The following is a 15,971-nucleotide window of genomic DNA, read 5'->3' as shown; positions in this document are numbered from 1 at the left end:
CTAACATGCAATCCCGTTGTTCCTTGATCTTTCTATGCTTTTGTGGCTGTAAGGTTTTATAAATGCCTTTCTCTGTGCCTGTACTGACTTTCCCCCTACTTTGATTAATAAAGTTAATCCATCCTTCAAGATATAGCTCAGGTTTCCTCTTCCATAGTACTGCTCATTGGGCATAGGGTGTGTGCTCAAGAAATGTTTTTGAATGAATAGGTCAATGATTGTGACACTTTGTTTAAGTCACTTAACTTTTTTTAAGTTTCTGTTTACTCATCTTTAAAATGGGGGCAGCGAATTACAGAATCTTGAGCTGCCCCTCTCCATTAAACGTACTGCTCTTTATACAATTCCAGATTATTTAAAAATTCCTACAAATATTTATTGAGTACATACTGGGTTCTGGGCATGTGGCTATAGACAGGATGATGGTCGTGGACTCTACCATGTGGCCTTTACAACCTGGTGGGAAACGCAGATTATAGACACTTCTTTAAACAAAACCAACTTATTTTTCAGTTGGTTAAGTGTTTATCAAAGGATATAAAAGGTGTTATGGCTCATATAAGAGGGGAAGTTACTGGTTGAAAAATTCAAGCTCTTTTTGCATTATTTGCATTAATGCTTTATTAACCCAAAACAAAGAAGACAGCTCATTAACTTTGTGTATATGGCTCCTATAATATATCATGGTAGTTCCAGGAAAACTGTAAGCTAAAAAGGTCAGCTAAATTTATGGGTTTTAAACACAGGTTAGCTAGTTTAGAATCTTCTCTGTGATTCTTATCCCTAACATGTTTTTCCAAGTGAAAGAGCTTTGAATGCAGCAAGCAATCTAGATACTATACTAAACACATGTGATAATTACAAAGTTATCCTACACAATTCCAGGTGATGGAGATATGGCCTGCTTCTAAGTAGTGTGGCTTAGTAGAGGGAACAGTGAATCAGGCAATAGGAATGCAGAGTTCTAGTCCTGAGTCTACCATGGAAAACGATGAGGCCAGGGCCTTCGTTTTCTCAATTGTAAAATAATGAAGTTGTATTGATGCCTTGTAAACTAAAATATCTTCCTAAGGACTTAAAAACCTGCCAGCCCTTATGTCAGACAGTGATGATTTTCAGAGAAAACAATTGGATATTTCCTTGGTGGTACAACTATTCATTCCTGAATCACTTGAGTAAATTAAATTGTCTTTTCCCATTTGCCCACAACTGTCCCTTTCAACTGATGGGATTGGAAGGGCCTGAATGTATAAGCTGGGGGTTGAGCCTTGGCAGCAGCAACATTGGCACAGACCTTGGTGATCCAGAGCCGGAAGAATCCCTCCTTCCTTCGATATGTTCTTCATTTTCAGTACAAGCTCAGCTAAGCTGCCATTCAGCAGTTGCAGGAAGAGATATATCATCTGAAGAAGCAGAGCCAAATATTTGATTTGGATGATTATGCTGCAGGTGTCTCATCAGAACTGCAGTGCCTAGATTACTAATTATTTTTTCTCAACCTAGTGCCTCTTGCAGGGAACACAGAGCATGGCAGGAAACATGAGGGATGGCTCTAATAAATGAGGCCCTGGACAGCTGATGCCAGGGGCTGGCTGGAGAAGCAGAAACTGCCAAGACAATGCAATCAGTGGGCAGAGGGGAGGGTGAGTCCTATCAGTTAGGCTTGGAGAAGTGATGATAGGGTCTATCTACGGTTCAAAGGAAAACAGCTATCATTTATAGAGGTGAGCCAGAAATGGCTGCTCATGCCCACAGGGCTCCTTCAGGCAGATGCTTGTGTATCATTCAGAATACTTCTGTTTTCACACACCTTTTAGTATCTGGTGGCAGGAAAGAGTTAATGCAACTTGCCAAGCTGCCTAGCTCTTCTGCAGTAATAATACAGTTTCATGTCTGTAGTCATTTTGCAGCATGTAAAGGGCATTTATGTTCACCTTTTTGTCTCAGCCTCCCGACCAAGATGGAGATATTTAGTTGTCTTGATTTTGACAAAGGAAAATTATAAAAGCTTAGTGAGGGTAAGCGATTCGTGCAAGGTCACAGGGTGAGGGAACGTTAGGACCTCATCCAAGTCCTTCAGATCTCAAGACCAGGACTCTTCCCAATCTGCCATCTTGCTTCACTCAAGCTGTAAGAGAGTCTCCTCAGCTCATCTGCTTAGCATGTGGTGTAAACGAGATCACAGCGAGGAAGTTCATTCCTATGATGGCCTGTTTGGCTTCCAGCTTCCAGGTCCATAGATCTCATTAGTCTCTCTAGAGCTCTCTCTTTACGAAATAGCTATGGATGAGTAGAAACCTGTGGCTGCTTCTAGAACAAACGGTTAAAGAAAATCTGTACATTGATGATGTCCAATTTTATATCTTTAACCCAGATTCCTTTTTTGAGATTCAAATCCGTATACTTAGCTACCTACTAGACTTGTCTCCTACACAATTAACCAATGCAAAGCGGCAAGCATCTTTTTCCCCCAGGGTCCCAAACTTGTCCATCTCTTTCTCTTTGTGTGAATGGCACTGCCATTCATCAGTTTTCTTAAGATGAAAACCTGGTATTCTCCTTATTATTCCCTCTCCATCAGTTTACCTTTTGTATCTTAACAGATATACCAACTTCAAAGTTGTGTCACCAGTGTAATCCCAAAGGGCCCTGTGCTCAGAAGGACCTTGTTCTTGGCGTTTAATGCACTTTACTTGCTGTCCTGAAATTCTTAATAATTTTTTCTTTGAATGTGTGTTTTTTAAGGGAAGTCCAATAGGAAAGTAAAGCACTTACTGAGGCTTGGAGCCTCAGCACATGGAGGGTCCCACCTTTCCCCGCCGTCCTGCCTCCCAAAGATGGATTCTCAGCTGCCAAGTCTCCTGCATTTGCCCAGTGACTATGGCTCCCTCGACTTCGGGTGTGGATGTGGTGGTGAGTGTATACACCCACCTGCTGAGTGATGGAAGTGGACCCGGAGTGCTTTGAGAATATTACTGTGCTCAAGGGAGCACAACATAAAACAGCAGATAAAACATTCTGTGATGGGTTGAGAGAGAGATTACAAAAAAGGAAAATGGTTTCGAACAGGAGGCCCTGCATTTTTGTTCGCACTGGGCCCTGCAAATTAGGAAGCTTGCCTTGCCAACCAATTATAAAATCTTAATGATTTTACCTCCCCAACTCCCCATAACTAAAACAAAAAACAAAAACTCTCTTAAATATGGCAATTTTCCTCCATTTTTGTTAACATTTTTCTAGTTCAGAAATGATTTCCTTTCACCAAGATGATTCCAACAGCCTCCACTGGTCTTCTGATCTTCAGTCTTGGCCCCTCCTCCAGCATTCTCTTTTGTATGATGTGGCCACAGTCATCTTCCTAAATAGCAGCTCTTGTTCTATTGTCACTGTAAAATGATCCCAATCCCCATCCCAAATAGCCTCTATTGATCTTAGGATAAATGTCAAACTCCTTAACAAGTTTAACAAGGTCATTTATAAGTGTTTTTTACTACCTGTTCATGGCCAATTTTATGTGTCAACCTGACCAGGTCATGGTACTCAGATATTTGGACAAACATGTGTCTAGATATTGCTGTGAAGGCTTTTTGAAAAGATGAGATTAACATAAATCAGTAGACTGGACTAAAACCAACTGCCCTCTCTAAAGTGGGCAAGTCATAAAGTGGAGTTCTTAAGAGAAAAAACTAAGGTCCTCTGAGGAAGGTAGAATTGAGCTTTGGACTCAAGTTGCAGTATCGACTCTTCCCTGGCTGTCTAGCCTGCTGGCCAGACCCACTGCATTTGGACATGCCAGCCCCTGCAATCACATAAGCCAGTTTCTTAAAGCCCTCATTCACTTCTCTCTAGGAATACACATAGTACTGGTTCTCTTTCTCTCTCAAACCCTGACTAACACACTACATCTGCTGCCTCTGTCTCACTACTCCCATCCTTTAACCACTTCGAACTGTCTTAAATTCTTTGAAAGTACCATGTCTCTCTCACTCAGGATATTTGCCATGTTGTTTTTTAGAATGGAATACATTTCTCCATTATTCTCCATCTTATTAATATTTACCTCCAGATCTAGGCCACAGGATTCTCCCAATCACTATACATTACCCTCTCCTTAAACATTATATTGCATTTAACCATTTTCTTGAATATCTCCTCCACTGGACTCTATGCTGTGTAAGGATAGGGACCATGTCTGGTTTTTTTTAGACTTTAATCCTCAACACAATACAGTAAGTACCTGGCTCATAGAGGGAGCTCTTGGATGAATAAACAAATTGAATAAATGAATTGGTTAAAAGGGGCATAACTCTGTATTGTTAGAAAAAATGACAAGTTCACACAACATGTGGCATTAATATGACCTTGGACTCCACAATCTCATAGGCTCTTCTAACTAGGTTTTGTTTTGAGGAGATATTGGCAGGCTGATGATGCTGGTTTAAATTCCAACCTGATTAAAAAAAAAATGGATCCTACACTAATTGCCTTATCTCTTTTAAGGCCTGAAGGTAGACATGAGGCAACATTAAAGGATTAGGCTGTATTTGATGGTCTGTGAGGGATATTATTAATGAGTATGAATAAAATCTCCAGGTATAAATTTCTTTATACCTGTAATATTCCATTATGGATCAAAGAGACTTCACAAAACACAAACAAATGACCATATTTTCTGGGAAGATAAAGAAGTCTGTAAACCTGAGGAAAAGGAAAATCCGAAGCACTAGGTTTAGTGCCTGCAGTACATTGTGACAAGTCTGAGACTTAATCAGCTATTCTCCTCTAATAAAAGAAACATCAATGCTGATAAGGACCATAGCAATCACCAACATGCTAATGATGATTATTTCAGGTTAGTGCACAACCACTCAGGGAAGAAGAACTACAGGATGTTGCCACAAATTATTCTTGATCCCAAGAGAAGGGGCTGTTTCCCAGGAGTTGTCCTGGAGCCATTTTCTTAGAAATTCCTGACACACGGGAACAGGTTATTGCTGAACTTCAACAGTACCTTTAGAAATAAAGCTTCCCTCTAAAATATAATTTCCAGCCCCATGAGGTGGGTTCTGGGTCTCCCAGAGTTTGTCCCTGATCTTGCCTCCTGGTTGTGGTGTAGCTGGAATGACATGGCCAGTGGCTTGTGGGATGCAAGGTTACCTGGTGTTCAGTGGCAGTACCTTTCCTCCTCCTCATATGCTGCTGTTCTGTGACGGCCCAACTCTTGCTCTGTAATAAGTAAGTTTGCTACTTCTGCTGATGAAGCTGCAAAGGCAATCGCCCCCTCTCTGAGACCTGAGCCTCCCTCCCCACCCATACTTCACCCCACAGGCTGCCTGGCAGAGGCAGGGGACAGGATGCGCTGTGTAATAAATTCTAACCACTGCTGAGCTGAGGGATAACAGATGGATAGGTTTCCTCATGCAATTTCCACTTCACTTGGTTTGGGTATAAAATAGCAGAAGGATGGTTTCTTCTTGTGCAATTTTCAAACAGATGAAACCAGAGGGAGGGTTTGTTAGGCTGGGAGGAAAGCGAGGGACTTGACTGTCCTTTAGAGAGAGCCAAATGAACAGGATGCCCTGAAAACCCTGTGAAAGATTCAGGCTTGTGTTTTTCTGCTAGCGAGCAGTCAGTTCTTCCATCCAAAGCCGCCTGCTCATCCCTACCAGGCATGGCAAAGGAAACGATCACGGGGAGGGCCAGAAAGTCTGTTGTTCATGTTGTTATAGTGTTATGGTGATTGCAGTACAAATTCTCCGGGTGGAAAAAAAGGTATAATGACAGATTGTGTGATTATACCCATACGTATAATTAAGCTGTTACAATACAGACAAGCGCCTGCTCTCTAATGTCACCAACAGAAACCTCTTTGCTTGGAAAGGAAAGTGACTCACTGGCAATTAGAAGGAGTTCCCTACAGGACTTCATTTTCAAACCCTGTGAGCACTCCAGTAGGAAGATGTGTGGCTCACTTGAATTACAGGGAAAAGTACAGACATCCAGGAGCAGCCACCTGGTCTCCAGGTATAGGATGTGGTATTGGTTAGAGGAGGAATTATTACCGTCGCAAATACCCTCTTTACAATGCACAAAGGGCTTGGTTCCCACAAAGCACTTTATCATAGTGTTTATATGCAACTCTGTGGTGTCAGTTGGATTTGTGATTTCCATTTTAGAGCTGGAAAAGGAGAGAGAGAAAGGCAGGGAGAGAGACAGAGAGAGAGTGCACCCAGGAGGCAACAGGGCAAGTTGGTGTCCAGCTGGGACTCCTGGCCACCTGCCAACATGGTCACTTCCACTAGCTGTCATTTGTCTGGTGGTAAAGTAGGTGGTGTCTGCCTGACAATCCCTCAAACCCCCAGAAGGGGATGTTTGGGTCTTCCTACTAACTTTGAACCTTTTTAACTTTAAGTGAAATAAGGGGAATTGGAGGAACTCCCCACTCTAAGGGGAATAAAAGGAACTCACATTTTTTACACTTTTTTTTTTTTTTTTGCTTTTTACCCATTTCTATTTGATTATTAGGTTTCATTCCCTTTTTTCTGGCAGCTATGTTTCCTAACTGACATTGCTACAAAGGAATCCACCATGCCTACCTACAAATATGTGTTATGGGCTTCTATTCAAGTAACCCATGATGTGACTTATGTAAACATTCTTCAATGATGAACACGTTCCTCTGTGTAGCAGGCAGCTCTTGTGATTTACACACAGAGCCCCTGGTGTGGTGTGAATTTGGAGTTTTTCTTGAAGAGGACTTTTATATGAGGAAGAAATAATGATGAGAAAATTATTTGGGGCTCATTGCTGGGTTTCTTGAATTTTGTGTGATCTCTCTGCATATTGTTTCCTTATCTGCAAGATGAGGCAATACATATCTACCTCCAGAGAGGCATCTTGAAGACTAATTAGTTAATGATGCTTGTGAAGTGTCTTAAAGATGCAAATCACAACACAAGTGGCAAGAATTAATACGATCTATATTCACATAAAATTCATTTTTATGTGCCTATGTTTGAGGAACTCACCTGGAATTATTTCCGTAAACACATAGAATATATGGCTAGTAACAAGAATTTCTGATTAAAAATAAAAAAGACCATTTGGTTGATTGATGATTGAAAGAAATGACCTGCATCAAGTTAGGTCTTTGCTTGTGTCACACCCCTGTGCTTCGGTATTCAGCCAGTAGCTTTGTAGTCATGGGCATGCTGCATAGCTTCTGTGCATCTTTGCCTAAATGATGGGCAATATTGCCTTGTCATCCTCCCCATGAAATGTTGGGGGGAAAATGGTGGAAGTAAATTATTCTGTGGGTGAGAGAGCCAATGGGGAAAATATTAAATTGAGAAGGAACTGCGTTAGTCCATTCTCACACTGCTATAAAGACACACCAGACACTGGGTAATTTATAAAGAAAGGAGGCTTAATTGGCTCATGTGTCTGTGAGCTGTACAGGAGACATGGCTGGGAGGCCTCAAGAAACTTACAATCATGGCTGAAGGATAAAGGGGAAGCAAGCACATCTTCACATGGCTGCAGGAGAGAGAGAGAGAGTGAAGTGGGAGGTGCTACACACTTTCAAACAACCAGATCTTCTGAGAGCTCCAACATGAGACAGCATTTGGGGGATGGTGCTAAACCATTAGAAATCACCTACGTGATCCAGTCACCTCCCACCAGGCCCCTCCTCCAACACTGTTAATTACAATTTGACATCAGATTTAGGTGGAGACACAGAGCCAATTCTTATCAGGAACAAACAGGGTCTTCAGGGTAACAGTTTCCCTAACCTCCTGGAGAGGACATTTAAAATTTTTCTGGGAGGCCGAGGTGGGTGGATCATGAGGTCAGGAGTTTGAGACCTGCCTGGCCAATATAGTGAAACCCCATCTCTACTAAAAATGCAAAAAAAAAAAAATAGCTGGGCATGGTGGCACGTGCCTATAATCCCAGCTACTCGCGAGGCTGAGGCAGAAGAATCGCTTGAAGCCAGGAGGCGAAGGCTGCAGTGAGCTGAGATCGTGCCACTGCACTCCAGCCTGGGTGACAGAGTGAGACTCCATCTCAAAAAATAAAAATGAAAATAAATAAAGTTTTTCTACCCAGTAGTGTCTCTTTATTCTTATGGTATTAGTACCTCCTCTTGGGAAATCGCCTCTCCCACCCTTAGTCTTGTTTGTAATGCCTAAATCAGTCAATACCTTCTGCCTCCTTGGCCAAAGGGACTTCCAGGTAATTCAAGTGGCTCCACTCAAGAAACTCCAGGTTGAAACTATTAGTAATGGAAAATCATGTAAGGTAGAAGGCATAGATGAGAATTGTGCCATCAGAAGAGGAAGAATTACATAAGAGTGAGGCCAACTCATAATGAAGGATACAACAAAAGCACTGAGTCCTGATATAAACTCATGTGAGCCCTGTATTCAGTCATGCCTGGATTTTCAATTGCATGTGTCAATACTTTCTCTTCTTAGAAACAAAATTTAAACTAGTATTCAGTTTAGATTTTGGTTGTTGGCATCTGAATGAGTCTTAACTAATATAATTTTTTCAGCAAACTTTTACTTGGAAATTTACCTCCAAATTAAAAGTGGCTGAAGCTGTTTGATCCATTGAGCTGGCTCTCCCCACTGCCTTGCTTCCCTGTGAAATCCTGATCCCAGGAATCATCCATTTAGGGAGCAAGTCCTTACTGCTCCTCCACTATGTGCAAGTGGCTGGGAGAGACTATGTGTTCCCCATTTTCAAAATGCTATGGTCTAATTTGGAGTTTGTGGCATGCATTTCAGGCATAATAATGTGTTTTAAGAAGGATCTTGATAATTTATTTAGGATTTTCAGAAGTGAAAATGATTACAAATATTTCCAGAGAAAGATATGGAAAACAATTAAATCTGAACATAGACTTATTACACCTTGATAGGATAGTAGAGCCCCAGATCAAGTAAAAACCTTTCAGCTAGGAGGTGCAGTGTGGGCAAGGGAGGGATGGGAGACTGTCGGACAGGGAATAGTAGGGCAGTGGATAGAACATAAGTTTCCTGAAAGCTGACAAGGGGAATTGTAGTTGGAAAAATTAACATAGTTCTGATTGTGAAGGGCATTTGTTTTCAGGCCTAAGAGTTAGATTTCATCCCCGAAAGACAGTGTGGATCTATGTAATCTTATTGTCAGGAAAAAAAGATGGTTATAGCTGTGAATGGTTTGAAAGGGAAGAGAGATGATAGGGACTAAGCCCTCTTTGGAGGCTATTGTAATGGTCTAGGCAGGAGATAACAAGAGTCCCAACTGCTTAGCAAGAATGATTGCTAGAGATTAAAGAAGGTACTGGGATGAATGGAAAAGACATTGTGAGAGTAAAGAGCATGGTTTTTAGCAGCTGGTTGGATTTGGGGAAAAGGGAAGTTCCTGGTTTTTAATCTAGATGATGGGAAGATACCATGCCATGAACAGAATTAGGAAATACAGGAAGAGGAGCAGTCTACGGGTGAGGTAGCTTTGTCTCTTTAATTCTTTCAGAATTCCTTTCCCTGTATGATTCGGGTTAGTATTGGCCACAGGACACATGTTGCATGAGCTCTGGCAGTGGAAGTGAGGCAGGACCATATATCTGATGTTCTGAAGCTTGATGCCGGGGACCGGGAACTGTGGCAGCTCATGTGACAACTCACCTTGTTGGCATAGGGTCTTACCTGAGCACACGCCTCCCTCTGCTCCTGTCGAGTCTCCTCCTGCAGCTTCTTCAAGTGCTGGGTCAAGTACAAAGCAGCTCTGTGAAGAAGGGTAGCAACTTATGCTGGAAATAACCCAAGGCAGCCATTGGAGGCTGTGAGAGACAGATGTGGCAGATGTGGGTTCTAGGTCATCCTCACAGAGATCCTTTTCCTTAACTGCACCCAGCTTTCCCTTCCAACTGCCCATCTGGCTGACCCCTAGTGACTTCAGACCAACACAGGCATGGAAACAACAATGTTGCAGAGACTCCCACCAGCTCCTGTGACTGTAGAAGTTCTCATCCCTGTGTTACACCCTTTATTCCACATACACTCATGATGATCCTACTTCTCTGATTGAACTCAGGCTGATTCCATGGGGTCAGGACAAATGAATCCATTCTTTTCTACATCATTGGAACTTGAGATGTTGGTGGCACATTCAGGTGGAAATGTGTATCGCAGGCAGTTGGAATGATGGGTATGGATTTTGAGAAGGTGGTCAAGACTAGAGAAAGAAACCGGATAGCCTTCTACACAGAGATGATAATCAAAACTGAAATCATGGATGAAGCTACAGAGTCAGAGTTTAGACAGAGAAGAGGATGAGGCCAAGGACGGGACTCTGGACAGTGCCGATGCTACCAGGCAGAAGGAGGAAAAAGAGACACAGAAGGAGCCTGAAGTTAACAGAGAGGCCAAAGAGGACCAAGGAGAGCACATTTATAAAACGCAGATGAAAATAGACTCCAGAGGAAGTGACTGTGCAAAATTATAGCATGAGAAACAGGCACTTTTTTTCTATTGTTGAACTTAGTATTACAGAGTAAACCTTGGGCATCAATTAGTTCAGCTGTCTCATTTTGCAGGTGAAAGAACAGAGACTCATGAGCGCTTTCTTGAGTTTAGTTCAGAGCTAGTTTGAGGCAGAAAGAAAATCCAGTTCTGCCTTGTGTGGGAACTATCTTGCTGCTACGCTATTCTTGTTTATGATGCTGCTAGAATCAATGAGACAATATTGAAAAATATTAAGTCCCCGGAAGGAAAGATTTAATGATGATGCTGACACAAATTTCAATATTACCTTGTCTCTGAGGCGCACAAAGCATTTTGCATAGATGATTCTTTCTCAAAAGAGTCATACACCACAAGAAGGTGGCAAAGATTTTTACTATTCTTCTATTACAAACAGAGAAACTGAGTCATGCTGAGGTTCCTTGCTTTTGTGCAATAACTAAAATGTCTTTTGAAGACAGATGTGCCTTAAATGCTGTTAACAATGAGGCTATGTGAGTATCATGTAAGTTTCTATGTTTGACAGTTATTTTTTGAAAGAGCAACCCCCCAACTCCACCTCTTTACAATTATAGCAATAGCTGGGTAGCTTATGAACCCTGTTTCCTTGCCTTATGCTTACAATTTATGGGCAATCTTCATATTTTGATATAAGGATCCACACTGGGAACCTAGTAGGCACACAAGAAATGTTCTCAACCCAAGTATTATCAGGGGTATTCCTTCACTTTTGTCATCTTCAGAAATGGGGAACAGTATGAACCCTACATGCTTTTCGTGACTAGCTTCAACAAACCCCCATGCAAATGCACTGGGATGTTGGCAGAGCAGGAACTGATCCAATTGAGTTACAGCTCCTCGACAGTGATCTGAATATTTGCTTAAGATTTGCGACCTCATCCATGGTGGTGCATCAGGGTGAAATGAACAAAGCGTGAGAGTTGGAGATACAAAGGGGGAGCAGAGGACCTCCTGGTACCAGTCTGGCAAGGAAAATTGACTGAGGGTTATCATGTGTCCAAGGGTCACATCTAAGTCTTCCAAGTGGCTTTTATATCAATCTATCTGTATAGGAGGGTCTTAGTCAGTTCGGGCTGCTATAACAAAGCACTGTAGGCTCAATGGCACATAAACAACAGAAATTTATTTCTCACATTTCTGGAGGCTGGAAGGCTGAGATGAGGGTGTTAGCATAGCTGGGTTCTGGAGAGGGCCCTCTTCTGGATTACAGACTGTCAACTTCTTATTGTGTCCTTACATGGTGTAAGAAGAACAGGCACTCTCTGGGGTCCCTTTCATCAAGGCACTAATCCCATTCATGAGGGCTCCACCCTCATGACTTAATCACCCCCCTCAAAGGTCTCACCTCCTAAAACCATCACCTTAGGGGTAAGAATTTCAACATAGGAGTTTTTGGGAATACACGAACATTCAGTTCATAACAAGGACTCTAAAAAGAAATAATATGTTTTAAATTCCTACTTTGTGCCAGGTACTTGGCTATACTGACCAGGTACCATGGACAAGATACTTAGGGTTTCCTTCCTGGTTTCTCTCTGTAGATCCATTATCTAATTCTCTGTCTAACTATGTAGCCAACTTACAAAAGACAGAAGGCAGTTTACAAGACCCAAAAATTTAGTAAGAAACCTATACCGAGGATCAGTCGGGAGGTGGAGGCGTGGATACAGAGGCGTTACTGTCATAAGGAGGGCTCCCTCTCAGCCAGCACAAACTGGAAGCGTATCGACAAAGGCAGGCCACCCCTTCGCGGCTGTATCGATTTCCTTTCTGGCTTGCAGGCAGTTTACTGCTGTTACATGTCCACGCAGCACAGCCCCAGGCCAAGAGGAACCGCTGTCCCCGCAGTGCGTTGCAGGGAGGGAGAGGCCCCTGATCACGCCTGCCTGGTGCTGTTCCTTCCTATCTCTCCCATCCTTTGTGTCTGCAGTTCAGACTGCTTTTTCTCATTCTTGCCGGTGGAGTTTTCAAAAGCAAAAATCCTGCTTTCTTCAGCCACTCGGAGAGTATACAGTATATCTGATGTCTGAGACATCAAACAAATGCTTGTGCTCACAGAGCAGAAATAATCCCAGACAAAAGACTACGGCCATGGGGAGAATACGAAAGAGAGAGGGTCGGGAAATTACCAGGCAAGTCGAAGAACAGGCTGTTTCACAAACAGCCTGTGAGAAGTAGGAAAGTAGGAAGCCCGAGCTGTGGGGAATCTGCTGGGACCACCCTGACCCCAGCCCCCACCAACAGTGCCCACACCAGGGAACCGTCCCTTTACTCATAAATCGGTAGCTGCACCTCCTTCTCCTTGCAAGCAGAGTCTGGAACAGTCTCACAAACGTTCCTAAACGTGGGCACAGACGTTCAGTTGTGAACACACGTATGTGCACCCCCTAGGAAGGAACTGATCCCAGTCTAGCATTCTCATAGAAAAGCCAGGTTGCTCGGCGTCCGGGGAAGCAGAACCCAGTTCTCAGTTCCTTTCTCTCCCGGGGCTGCGGGGCTCTCGGAAGGAGACGGGAGTTGACAGGAATCCGTGGGATTTCCTCTTCAGCACCTGCCTCCTGGCCACACTCCCACCCGCTCTGCCTGTCTTTTCCCCTGCGTGGCAGCCTGATCCGTGAGGCCCTAAGAGTGAAGGGGTGAATTAATTGGAGGAGGAGAGAGGAAAGGCGAGGGCAGGGGAAAACTCCACAAATCAAAGGGGTTTATCTCCCAGAGGGCTGGTGGGAGTGAGCCATACTCACAATAGCGATTCAAGTTCACCTTGTGTGAAGGTAAAGAGGTGTTTTAATGGCTCTGTAGAAAGTGGGGCGGAGAGAGAAAGAGGGATAGAAAATCAAAAGAGAGAGAGAAAGAAAGAGAGAGAGAGGTGCAAATCCAAATGTCGATGTGTAGACATAGTGAGGAGAGCCTGCTGGCTGACAGGGTGATTTATTGGATTCTTCCAGTTAATCACTGCCGGCCTGTGGCCAAACCGATCTCCAGCAAAGCTGAAAGGCAGCCGAGGGAAACAGGCTTATAAGCATAAAGCCGCATAATGGTGTTCAATGAAGTGTGAGACTTTTAGTTCAGTCTCGCTGAGCCGGCCGCACCGCCGGAATGTCAAAGAGGGATTGTGGGTGGAAAAATTATGGATTTAAACTGCTAGCTGTAAATGAGGTCAATATGTCTGGTTCATAAACAGTCCGAGCCTATTCCAAGAATGCAGTGAGGGGGAAAATTAGCGTGAAGCCAACACTGTAGACAAACCTCATTGAGATATAATTGCAGCTATAAATACAAGCGAAAAGCTTACCGAGTGCAATAAAATACAGACACGCTTTTTTATTCCCCTTCTTCTTCCTTCTTTGAATCTATGCATTTGTTAAGGGTTGTGCATCCCTAATGCTCCCTTCATCTCTCCCTCCCTCTCCTAGTGACACCCAATGTTGCAATTAATTGAGTGTTCTTGATCTCTCATTCCATTTTATTCAGGCGAGATTGGAAAAAATCAAAAGAGCACATCTAAAGCATTTTCTTCCCTTTTGCTTTTCTATTTGAATCAGGTTGAAATGTGTGAAAAAAAAAAGCAGCGCTTATTTTTTATAAGGGGGAAAATCCAAGTATAAAGTCTTTTTAAACTAATACATCTGTTAGATTATTTGAATCTCAATTTAATGAAGGGACATGAACGGCACCCACAGGATCCTATGGTTTGCATTCTTTGGAGGGCTACCTGGTCTTGGCTCATAAAACATTGACTTAAATGAATATGTTTTTTTTTTCTTTTTCTTCTTTTTCTCCCGCCTCCCCTTTTTAAAAAAAAAAAAACTCGAAAGACTCTCATTACTGTGTTTTGTACTCAAGCTCAAAGGATAGAGGACAGACATTAGCAAACTTGCTTTGCCCAGTTTAAAAGCCGATACAGTAATAAATTGAAGTCTAATAGCTCTGGTCAGGCTGCCTTTCCCCCTAAACCAATTGATTTAAATGGCAGTAATTTGGCCAGCGAGGCTAGTCCTGTTTAAATTAAACCCATTAATATAATAGCACAAGTCCTGAATGAAATCCATCTGCAAGAAAGGCTCCACCGGTCAGTAGTTTCATAACTGCCCAGGGACGTCCTAAAACGCCCACAGTCGTGTGAACAGGAATTACAGATTACAGGCAAGACCCTGAAAGGCTCCTGATGAGAGAGAGAGAGAAAAAGAGACAGAGAGAAGGATATGAAAACAATTGTGTGAGCACACACATTCAAAGCAAGTGGGAAACCGACCTGAAGATTTCAAGGGAAATGACCTTGGTTATTAGTAACAGTGAAAGGTTAATTGTATTAATAACAACAAGCAGCGGTGCTGCAGGAAAAGCCCTCAGCATCTTCTTTTCCTCCCCCCTGTCTCAGTAAGGAGACATTTTTCCTCTTTAACTGTTCTGCCTAGACCCCATGGCCCAAAAGGACAAAAATAATTTCTTCAAAGCGGGAATTTGATCTTTGCAGCTGAAGGTGTATGTGTGTATGTATTTCAGTGCTGGCTCTCGAGACAGTGTCTCTGCTGTGTCTACGCTTGGTTCAGAGTGCATGTCCTTTGCTAGTTTACATTAAGTTGACCAAGCAAGTGGGATTTGGATTTGAGAATCAGGAACGCAGCTGCCGGTTTTATCACTAAGTCTGAGTCAGTGTTTAAACCTGAGCAAATTGTCTGCCATCTGTTCGAAGGGAAGAGATGCTTCCTAAACAGAACAGAAAGAGCTTGAACTAAGGAACTGTGGAATTGTAGGGACTTCAGCATTTATGTGGATTTGAAGGGTGACAGTAAAATAATGCCACACATGTTCACAGGTGGCTGATGGAAGGAGCTTAATTACTTTAAGGCCACACTCTGAATCCAGCTCTTACAAAGCCAGTAGGAGGCGGTACGGGTCTAAGAGTGAGATTAGGGTTAGGGAGCAGGGCTTCTGGGTTCCAGCCCATTTCTGTCATTTGTCAGCTGTGCAGTCATGGAGAAGCACCTTCATTTGAGTTTGCTTCCTCATTGAAAAGAAAAAAAAAAAGGAAGAATACTTGTTCTGCATTCCTCACATATTGTTGTTGGAATCAAGTGAAAAGGTGCATGAGAAAGTCCTTGGCAATCAATAAAGCATTAAATATATTTAAGATAGTAGTACTAGTCACTGTACCATTATTATTAGGCTTACTAACAAGGCAATAATTAATAACTATTATATAAGTTATTATATAACTATTTTATATGTAAATATATAGATACAAAATTATAACAAAATTGTATAGCTGTATCCACTCTTTATCAGGTGCTTACCATGTTTGGGATATTGTGATAGGTTCTTGCACATGAAATGCTCTTTTATTTACTTTCATACAACCCTGAGAGGTAAATATTATTATTATCCTCTATTTTATAGACAAGGAAATATAAGCTTTCTTCTGTATTCAGTTTTAATATT

At 42.4% G+C, this 15,971-nt stretch overlaps 1 annotated feature.

The window, feature by feature from the left end:
• Positions 13,208 to 14,810: an enhancer, noted in NCBI's record as "VISTA enhancer hs313". NCBI's record gives its function as "enhancer in: forebrain[4/4] | limb[3/4]" and the evidence as "EXISTENCE:transgenic organism evidence [ECO:0001131][PMID:17130149]".

The sequence above is a fragment of the Homo sapiens genome, chromosome 9 (genome assembly GCF_000001405.40).
Source record: "Homo sapiens chromosome 9, GRCh38.p14 Primary Assembly".
NCBI classification, from domain to species: Eukaryota; Metazoa; Chordata; class Mammalia; order Primates; family Hominidae; genus Homo; species Homo sapiens.
Note: the sequence above shows the minus strand (reverse complement) of the source record. Positions and strands in the feature narration are given on the sequence as shown.